Below are 10,889 nucleotides of genomic sequence, written 5' to 3' on the forward strand. Positions count from 1 at the left end.
TCATAGTAAGGTGTGATGGCTCATATCTGTAATCTTAACTGTTTGGGAGGTCGAGGCAGGAAGACTGCTTGAGGCCAGGATTTCCAGACCAACCCGGGCAACATGGCAGCTCCCATCTCTATTATTTATATATATGTATCAAAAAACCCAACCCATATCACAGGAAGGAAGACTGAAGACTGTCAACAAGCCTGGACATTTTGTCACAAAGCACTGTCCGCTCCCTGGCCCTGACTTTGTCACAGACCATTGTATGTTCTTCAAGCCCACTGAATTCCCTTAAAAATCATTTACCACCCCCGCTCAATCATCCACACTTCCCCATCTCCCTTTTCCCTAAGAAGGAGGGTGTATACTTTTCCTTTATTTGGAGACGGAGTCTTGCTCTGTTGCCCAGGCTGGAGTGCAGTGGCGTGATGTCGGCTCACTGCAACCTCTGCCTCCTGAGTTCAAGAAATTCTCCTGCCTCACCCTCCCAAGTAGCTACGATTACAGGTGCCTGCCACCAGGCCCAGCTAATTTTTGTATTTTTAGTGGAGACAGGGTTTCACCATATTGGCCAGGCTGGTCTCGAACTCCTGACCTCAGGTGGTCCGCCTGCCTCGGCCTCCCAAAGTGCTCGGATTATAAGCGTGAGCCACTGTGCCCAGCCTAGAAGTAGGGTATATAAGAATCTGTACACACTAGGATGTCAGGCTGTCACTGTGATTCTGCGGTGTGCACGGTGGTGATACATTTGCATGCCTTTTCTCTTATTAATCTGCCTTTTTGTGAGTTGATCCAGTGAACCTTCTGGGGGTGAAGAGGAAGTTTCCCAGCTGCAATGGCCATGGGCAGGGGGTCTTAAGTAGACTCTCAGGAGGCCAGACACAGAGTAAATACGACTTCCAATACATGGGCCAGTCACTTCCCATGTTCATGTTGGCTGGGGGCCTGGGCTTCTCTGGTCAGTGACCATGCGCCTGGCCGGCCGTACTGCTCCACCGAGCGCTGGACTCATAGTCTCCACTAAGCACACTCTCTGTCTGGCTGACCTTGCAGGACCCTTTGCCCAAATCACTTCCAGGAACCTCCTGCCCAGGCCCGGCACTCTCCACCCGACCTTTTGTGACTCCTCAGGGCACTGTTGCTTGGGGGTCCCTTTTTGACAATTCACTGTGTCTTTACTGGTATTGTGTGCCAACAGTTATTCATCATTTTCACTCTGAGTGGAGACTATTTCATATTTTTCTTTCATCTGGTTTAAAGTTTAATAATGCTTTTAGTTTCCCCCAAATATTATTAGAAGCAAAACCCTATTTTTTTTTTGACAGAGTCTCGCTCTCTCCCCCAGGCTGGAGTGCACTGGCACGATCTCGGCTCACTGCAACCTCCACCTCCCAGGCTCAAGCGATTCTCCTGCCTCAGCCTCCACAGTAGCTGGGATTACAGCCATGCACCATCATGCCTGGCTAATTTTTGTATTTTTAGTAGAAATGGGGTTTTACCATGTTGGCCAGGCTGGTTGCCAACTCCTGACCACAAATGATCCACCCGCCTTAGCCTCCCAAAGTGCTGGGATTACAGGCGTAAGCCACCACACCCGGTCTTACTTTTTTTTTTTTTTGAGGCAGCGTCTCCCTCTGTCGCCCAGGCTGGAGTGCAGTGGCATGATCTCAGCTCACTGCAACCTCCGCCTCCCAGGTTTAAGCCATTTTCTGCCTCAGTCTCCTGAGTAGTTGGGATTACAGGCATGTGCCACCACGGCCGGCTAATTTTTGTATTTTTAGTAGACATGAGGTTTCACCATCTTGTCCAGGCTGGTCTTGAACTCCTGACCTCGTAATCCACCTGCCTCGGTCTCCCAAAGTGCTGGGATTACAGGTGTGAGCCACTGCACCCGGGCTTTTTTTTTTTTTGAGATGGAACCTTGCTCTGTCGTCCAGGATGGAGTGCAGTGGCATGATCTTGGCTCACTGCAGCCTCTGTCTCCCGGGTTCCAGTGATTCTCCTGCCTCAGCCTCCTGAGTAGCTGGGATTACAGGTGCACACTACCACACCTGGCTACTTCTTGTATTTTTTAGTAGAGGCAGGGTTTCACCATGTTGGCCAGGCTGGACTTGAACTCCTGACCTCAGGTGATCCGCCCGCCTCGGCCTCCCTAAGTGCTGGGATTACAGGCAGAGCCACTGTGCCCAGCTGGCCTTACATATTTTTAATATTAAATTAAATTAAATTAATTAATTAATTAATTTTTTGAGATGGGAGTCTCGCTCTGTCACCCAGGCTGGAGTGCAGTGGCGCAATCTCAGCTCACTGCAGTCTGCATCTCCCAAGTTCCAGCGATTCTCCAGCCTCAGCCTCCCGAGTAGCTAGGATTACAGGCACCCACCATCATGCCTGGATAATTTTTGTATTTTTGTAGAGACAGGGTTTTACCTTGTTGGCCAGGCTGGTCTTGAACTCCTGACCTCAGATGATCCTCCTGCCTCAGCCTCCCAAAGTGCTGGGATTACAGGCATGAGCCACCGCGCCCAGCCCTCTTTCTTTTTTAATAGCTGCATACTGTTCCATTGTGCAGATGTGCACATGATCATTTAGCCAGGCCACCATTGATGAACATGTGGAACAAACAATGTCACAATGAATACGCTCATGAGTACATAGGTTCGCACTTACACCAGTATATCTAGGATAATTACTGAAGAATAGAATCCCTGAATCTAAGGGTACGTATGTATATTTCAAATTTTGGCCAATATTGTCAAATTGCCTTTGTAGAGGTTGTACCAGTTTACATACTCACAAGCAACATATGAAGTGTCATGCTTCTCACACCCTCAGAAACCTAGCGTGTGTTTTGATCTTGACGCAAAAGCTGTTTTCTGAACACTCATCCTGTGCACAGCATTCTGCTGGGTGCTGCAAGCATGTGGAAGGCTGTGATAGGAGCAGCCCTTGCCCCCTGCACGGCCTGGTGGACCTCCCCTGCTGGGCAGAGCAGCCCCATGAGATCAACAGCAATGTTCAAGTCAGTGAGGTTCACAGAGGGCATGTGGATTGGGGTTGCTGGTTTGCTGTGGTTCTGGTTCTGGTTTATTTTAAATGGCTGTCAGTTTGTGGGAAGGGTTATATGAAGGTCACAAAACAAAGGAGGAAATGGTTCAGATTCAGAGGGCAAGGGAGGGACAAGGACAGAGTGAGGACGAATGGTTTCTGGAGTCATCAGCTGCTGGAGAGTTGGGAAGAGCATGGAACAAAAGGAGGAGAGAGAGTTTTGGGTAAAACCCCCCCAAAAAACAAAATCTAAACCACGAGGGAAGATATATGGGTGTTTAAAAATGCCTGGAAAATTTCACAGAACAGTTATTTTTAGAGGGGCTTGTAGTTAATTTCATAAATTTTAGAATTTCCTTGTCTCCCAGACTCTGGTTTTCATATCTCAATACCTTTTTATTTTTAGTTTTTAGGTGGTTTCGCCATTTTGCTCAATCACATTGGTATCTTGGGGAGCACTGGCAGTGCTGTGGGGAGCTGGGAGAAAGGTGGGGAGGGCCCTGGGTTTGTGTTGAAGCAAGTTAAGCCCTGAGCCCGTGGCCACTGGAAGTTCTACGGGAGGCTGGACACTTCTTAGGTTAAACTGGAGCATCAAGCTCAAATCATGTTTAAGTCAATTGGTTTTAGTACTTTTTTTTTCTTTGAGACGGAGCCTTACTCTGCCGCCCAGGCTGGAGTGCAGTGGCACAATCTCGGCTCACTGCAACCTCTGCCTCCCGGGTTCACGCCATTCTCCTGCCTCAGCCTTTCGAGTAGCTGGGATTACAGGCGCCCGCCACCATGCCAGGCTAATTTTTGTATTTTTAGTATAGACGGGGTTTCACCATGTTGGTCAGTCTGATCTTGAACTCCTGACCTCGTGATTTGCCCGCCTCGGCCTCCCAACGTGCTGGGATTACAGGCGTAAGCCACAGCGTCCGGCTTCTTACTATTTTTTTTTAAGACAGAGTCTCATTCTATTATCCAGGTCGGACTGCAGTGACATGATCTCAGCTCACAGTAACCTCCACCTTCTGGGCTCAAGCAATCTTCCTGTCTCAGCCTCCTGAGTAGCTGGGACCAGATGTGTGTGCCACCATGCCCAGATAACTTACTGTATTTTTTGTAGAGATGGGGTTTCACCATGTTGCCCAGGCTGGTCTGGAAATCCTGAGCACAAGCGATCTGCCTCCCAAAGTGCTGGAATTACAGGCATGAGCCACTGTGCCTGGTCAGTTTCAGTACTTTCATTTAAACCATTGTAGATGTGATAAATGTACATAAAGTTGTTTTCATTCCTAATCCTAAAGTTGCTGGTTTGAACAGGAAAGAGCTTACATCCTAAATATGCCTATGTAAATAAAATAATGCTCATAGTCCCATAAATGTTTTATAAAAGATATTTGTCCTTTAAATACAGCCTCTTCCCCCGCATAGAGAACATCTGATTTTTTTTTCACTCACGAGGATTTTCTTTGTGTAGCTGCCATGAGCAGAGACATCTGGGTCTGTGTGCCTTGCCCGCCACTTGTAGGGCTCAATGCACTCAATTAAGTGGCTCATTCAGTTATTTATTTGTATCAACAAAGACTTTTATTTGGGGGTTATAATTAACAACGTCATGAGCTCCTGCATGCTGAGCCCTGTATCCTTTTGATAGTCCCCATTTGATTTTTGAGCACTTCTTATATTTTGGCTCCATAAGATGTTCAGGCCCATCTTGTATTTTCCCTGCCCCATCCCTAGAACCAGCTCCTCTCTGAGGAGCCCTGGTTTCTCTTCTTGGAGAATGGGCTCTAGAATGGGCTCTAGAATGAATTCATATCCACACCTGTGAGGCCAATCTCGCACCACAAGTTCAACCTAGCCTCATTTGTAACTTATTTCTCCAGCTGTGGGAAACCTGGCTCTCCTCGACCACAGTACATTTACTGTCTTCAACCTGAGTGTACACCTGCCCCTGTGAGGAGAAAATCCACACCTGCTCTGTAGCGACTCTGTACCATTCTTATGGTCCTGGCCTGATGGGATCCAGCCACAGAACTGCCTTCCAAAGTTCCTCAGGTCAGGGGATTTTTTTTTTTTTTTTTTTGAAACAGGGTCTGACTCTGTTGCTGAGGATGGAGTGCAGTGGTGCGATCATGGCTCACTGCAGCCTCAGACCTCCCGGACTCAGGTGATCCTTCCACCTCAGGCTCCTGAGTAGCTGGGACTACACACGTGCACCACCATGTCCAGTTAATTTTTCTGTATTTTTAACAGAGATGGGCTTTTCGCCATGTTGCCCAGGCTGGGTCAGGAGATTTTAATGATGACATGAACAAACCAGAAAACAGAAAAATAGTGATAGGAAAGGAGAGCCTGGGTGGGAGAGGGTGGTAAGACAGAAGGAAAATGACACCCCAGGGTCTTGGGACCAGCAATGCCTGGCTGGGAAACTGCTCCGCATGTGTGGCTGTGACCTGTCTTGTTGGAGTGTACGTTCTGTTTGGTTTTCAGTCCCGAGGAGTCACAGAGTTGCCTATTTCTCGGGGCAACAGCAGGAAAGGCCCTCCTGAGGCCTATGGTGCCCTGTGGATGAGATCTTGGGGTCCAGGCCTTGGCAACCCCTCCCTGGGACAAGCTGCTGTATAGACTGGGCCTCGTTCCTCAGAGGACATCCTCTGATGGCTTTGGCTCTGTGAAGGCTCTCCAGTGAACACTTGTCCTTCCTGGGCACACTCTCAGGAGCGCGACCCCTGCAGTCCCCTGACATGGGCAGCCTCCTGTGAGCTGAAAAGAGACTCTGTTGGAGCCCCTACTTTTCCTTTAGAATCAATGTAAAATTGCAGGACATGGCAGCTCACGCCTGTAATCCCAGCACTTTGGGAGGCCGAGGTGGGTGGATCACGAGGTCAAGAGATCAAGACCATCCTGGCCAACCAACGTGGTGAAACCTTGTCTCTACTAAAAATACAAAAATTAGCTGGGCGTAGTGGCGCACGCCTGTAGTCCCAGCTACTCAGGAGGCTGAGGCAGGAGAGTCTACTGAACCCGGCAGGCGGAGGTTGCAGTGAGCCGAGATTGTGCCACTGCACTCCAGCCTGGGTGACGGAGCGAGACTCTGTCTCAATAAAAAAAAAAAAAAAAAAAAAAAAAAGAATCAATGTAAAATTGTTTCCTCTTCCTCAATGCTGTCTATAGCTTCCTTTCCTGGCCTACATTTATTTTCCTTCCTTCCTTCCTTCCTTCCTTCCTTTCTTCCTTCCTTCCTTTTTTAAGACGGAGTTTCACTCGTCACCCAGGCGGAGTGCAATGGCATGATCTCGGCTCACTGCAACCTCTGCCTTCTGGGTTTAAGCGACTCTCCTGCCTCAGCCTCCCGAGTAGGTGGGATTACAGGCACCCAAGACCACGCCCAGCTAATTGTTGTACTTTTAGTAGAGGCGGGATTTCACCATATTGGCCAGGCTGATCTTGAACTCCTGACCTCAGGTGATCCACCCACCTCGGCCTCCCAAAGTGCTGAGATTACAGGCGTGAGCCACCGTGCCCGGCCTGGATGACATTTTCTAGGAACCTGTTACCTCTGCCTGAAAATCTGGTAGGCAGTTAGGAACAGCCCTGGGAGCTGCAGACAGGCTTTTGGAAAGACCCACAACAGCATGCCTGGGCAGCAGAGAGAGCTTGCCAAATAGGTGCACATAGGTTGGGGGACATGTGACATTCCATAGGCCTCCTAGATGGACCTTTGCAGCCTGAATTCTAACACCTTTTTTCAAATCCATTGAGGACAAATAACAGGGTTGAATGTACATTTAAACTGGGCAGCTTTATCCTATGCTAGCATCTGGGGTCAGCAGGCATAGAAGAGCAGAGAGGTCAGCAGGCAACAATTCCTGGTAAGATTTGCAAGGAGCTGTAGCATATTTTCAGTACCTGCTTCTCATTAGCAATGACAAAATCCAGCCAGGCCTTCAACTGAGATTTTTTTCCCGCTACATTCTGGTTCAGCAAACTCTAAAATTCCTTCTGCCAAACGCTCTCTTCCTTCCTTCCCCCCTCATCTCTGCTCAATTTCTAAAAGCATAGTCAAGCACTTAAAGGGAAATTTCATCCATATGGGTTGGATTATCTACACTTAACTCATAAATACTGCTCTTTTGTTAAGAGTTATTCCATTGCCAAGTGTCTCTGAACAACAAAATGTTTTTCCAAAAAAAAGTGATAACTGAACTCCAAAAATTAGTATCTGTGTTCACTCTCTCTCCTTACCTAAATTGTATTCGATTTAACCAGCATTTATGAAATTTCCTGAGCTGGATTATGTACCTATTGGGGGTATGCACGTACGGCACAAAGATCAAAGCTCTTTGGTGCTTGTTCTCTAGGAGTTATTGGTCCAGTGAGGGAAACAGCTACCCACCATGGTACTGTGAACCCTGAATGTATCTGAGACAGGTCTCAGCCAATTTAGGAAGTTTATTTTGCCAAAGTTAAGGATGCATGCCAGTGACACAGCCTCACGAGGTCCTGCTATGTGCCCAAGGTGGTCAGAGCACAGCTTGGTTTTATACATTTTAGGGAGACGGGAGACATCAATTAACATATGTAAGATGAACGTTGGTTCGGTCTGGAAAAGCGGGACAACTCGAAGCAAAGGCGGGACAACTCAAAGTTGTGGGAGCACTTCCAGGTCATAGGTAGATGAGAGACAAATGGTTGCATTCTTTTGAGTTTCTGATTAGCCTTTCCAAAGAAGGCAATCAGATATGCCTTTATCTCAGTGAGCAGAGGGATGACTTTGAATAGAATGGAAGGCAGGTTTGCCCTAAGCAGTTCCTAGCTTGACTTTCCCATTTAGCTTAGTGATTTAGGGGCCTCAAGATTTATTTTCCTTTCACAGTAGCCTTATTAATTACGTTCTTAGCATGCTCCTGGCACGTGTGACAAAGGAAGCCACCCAGGGGCAGAGGAATCCCAGAGTCCCTTGAGAATGAGCAAGTTGTTTAAGGCAGCACAGCCAGTGAGGGACGAGCCAGGCCGGCCTTCCAGACGTTCACCATCAGTAAGCTCCTGAGAAACACCTTGGGTATGGAAGGGGAATGCGGGGCAGGGCTGGGGGTGGGGTGTGTTGGGGGGTAGAATTCTGCTAAGCCTAGGCCTACCCCTTCCTGACTTTGTTTTTTCCCTTTGCCCCACCTTCTTCCTTCATGTACACTCAGTAACTAGGGAGTTCTGGACATTGACCTTGTGATTATCTCTTCTCAGCCTAGTCCTGGCTTTGTTTTGTGTTTCTCATGTCATTGATGGGGCACCTCCTAGATCAGGGACAGCCAGTTCTGCAGGTTTGACAATGTTCAACCATAAACACCAGAGCAATCAGCTCTGTCCTGCTGCAAGGCAGGTTCTTTACAAATGACAGAGCAAAGACCTTGGATCTCTCCTGGCACTGCAGAACTTGAGGCTAAAAATACGTAGGAATGATGGGAAGTGTTTACAATAGCCCTTGCCAGAAGCCTAGCAAGTGTGTTTAAAGAAAAATGGAAAAGTGCACTGATGTTCAAGTAACGCAACCAGGCCCCATCAGCTGTGGACTATTGGGAGAGAAATTTCTCTTAGATGACAGGTTTTTAGTGGATACCACATTAGCAATAGTGGTCTCGGTCTAAACGTGGGGACATGCGGACAGAGCAACCCAGAGCCACAGGTCGGTGATCAATCAGTGCTGCCAGGCATAAGGCTGGGTTGGACCGGGGCCTGGTGGGGCTGGTCTCTGAGCTCACTCAGGCCTGTTTCTAGGGCTCTGTTCTGAGCTGGATCCAAGCAGGAACTCCCAGGACTACCCTGCACTTGGCTAGGGCAGCTTAGCTTCAGGGGCCAGGCTAGGTCTAGAATGAATTTCCGAGAGTTCTGCCAGCCTCCAAAAAGGGGACTTGGGGGTACCTCAGGTGATCTCCTGGGTTGCAAGCTCTGGTTCCTTCTGCCCCCAGAAGGGGTAAGGAGGGGATAGGGAGGGACAAGCAACCAGAACACAAATCTATAGAGTAAAACAGAGCCTCTGTGGGGGCCCTGGACACATGCAGCCCTGTTTCCACCTCCAACTTTAGGCCCCCTGGAAAGTTCATGATCAGTTTTTTTGGTTTTTTTTTTGAGGCAGAGTCTTGCTCTGTCACCCAGGCTAGAGCGCAGTGGCACGATCTCGGCTCATTGCAAACTCCACCTCCCAGGTTCAAGCAATTCTCCTGCCTCAGCCTCCCGAGTAGCTGGGATTACAGGCGCCCGCCACCGTGCCCAGCTAATTTTTGTATTTTTTAGTAGAGACGAGGTTTCACCATCTTGGCCAGGCTGGTCTTGAACTCCCGACCTCATGATCCACCCGCCTCGGCCTCCTAAAGTGCTGGGATTACAGGCGTGAGCCACCATGCCCGGCCCATGATCAGTTTTCAATTTCTGCCTATCAAACCCAAATCCATCCCTTGCACATTTTAGGTTTTTGTGTTCTGAATCAGGAGTGGATAAAATGTGGCAGCAGAAAAAAGCCAGACACGAAAGGCCACATGGTACGTGATTCTATTTAGGGGAACTGTCTCTGATAGGCAAACACATAAAACAGAAGGCAGAGAGGGGGCTGCCTCAGGCTGGGGGCGGTGGGGAGGGCGCTGGGGTTACAGCAGAGGGGTGGCACATCTCCTTGGGGTAATAAAGTGTTCTAAAGTGGTTACGGTGGTGGCAGATGCACAACTCTGAGAACAGACTCTAAACCACTGAGTTGTTTACCTTAGGGGGTGGTTTTTATAGTATGCAAATTATATCTCAATAAAAATCAAATGTGAGAGCAGAACTGAGAGAAACAAAATCCAAGCTGAGAGGCCGTCTGCTTCTCTCCTTGTTAAGAAGGTCCTTGGGTTTTTGTTTGGTTTTGGCTCAGCTGGAGGCCGAGGCCGTGTGGGAGAAAGCGAGGAAGCCTGTGGGAGGGAGGCCCACTTCCCCACTGCGGCCCGGTGCCATTTCTCCTTTCCCTAAGTCAATCATTTGGTTTCCCAAGAAGCAGCTAAGTGGCTGCCTGCATAAATTCACCTCTGAAATTGCAGAGGGAAGGGCCCACATGCGCCTCGTTCCTCATCTTTTAACCGTCACTCATTCAACTTGTATTTCTTTTTTCTTTCTTTCTTTTTTTTTTTTTTTGAGATGAAGTCTTGCTCTTGTCCCCCAGGCTGGAGTGCAATGGTGCGATCTCGGCTCTCTGCAACCTCCACCTCCCGGGTTCAAGCGATTCTCGTGCCTCAGCCTCCTGAGTAGCTGGGATTACAGGCACCCGCCACGGTGTCAGACATATCTCATTATACCGTCTGCCCTTTTGGAATTCAGGCACAGCTTACCAGCATTAACATCAACACAGAGACCTTAAGACTGCTAGAGCAGACTCTTTAAGTCTGATAAGAAACATTTGCAGTCTATTCTCTCTGAAGCCTGCTACCTGAAGGCTTTATCTGCTTGATAAAATCTTGGTCTCCACAACCCCTTATTTTTATTTTTTTATTTTTTGAGAGGGAATCTCACTCTATCGCCCAGGCTGGAGTGCAGTGGCACGATCTCAGTTCACTGCAACCTCCTGGGTTCAAGTGATTCTTATGCCTCACCCTCCCGAGTAAGCTGGGATTGCAAGTGTGTGCCACCATGCCCAGCTGTTTTTTTCTATTTTTAGTAGAGACGGGGTTTCACTGTGTGGCCAGGCTGGCCTCAAGTGATCCACCCGCTTCGGCCTCCCAAAGTGCTGGTATTACAGGTGTGAGCCACCACACCCGGCCCACAACTCCTGGTGGCAGATAATTGAATCATGGGGTGGTTTCCCCCATACTGTTCTCGTGGTAGTGAGTAAGTCTCACAACATC

At 48.5% G+C, this 10,889-nt stretch overlaps 1 protein-coding gene across 1 annotated transcript in view; it reads left to right on the top strand.

Moving 5' to 3' along the window:
* RANBP2 (RAN binding protein 2) overlaps window positions 1-10,889 on the top strand; it is a 1,122,820-nt gene that overhangs the window by 963,172 nt on the left and 148,759 nt on the right. The window lies entirely within an intron of this gene.

This window comes from Homo sapiens, chromosome 2, assembly GCF_000001405.40.
Source record: "Homo sapiens chromosome 2, GRCh38.p14 Primary Assembly".
Classification (NCBI taxonomy): domain Eukaryota; kingdom Metazoa; phylum Chordata; class Mammalia; order Primates; family Hominidae; genus Homo; species Homo sapiens.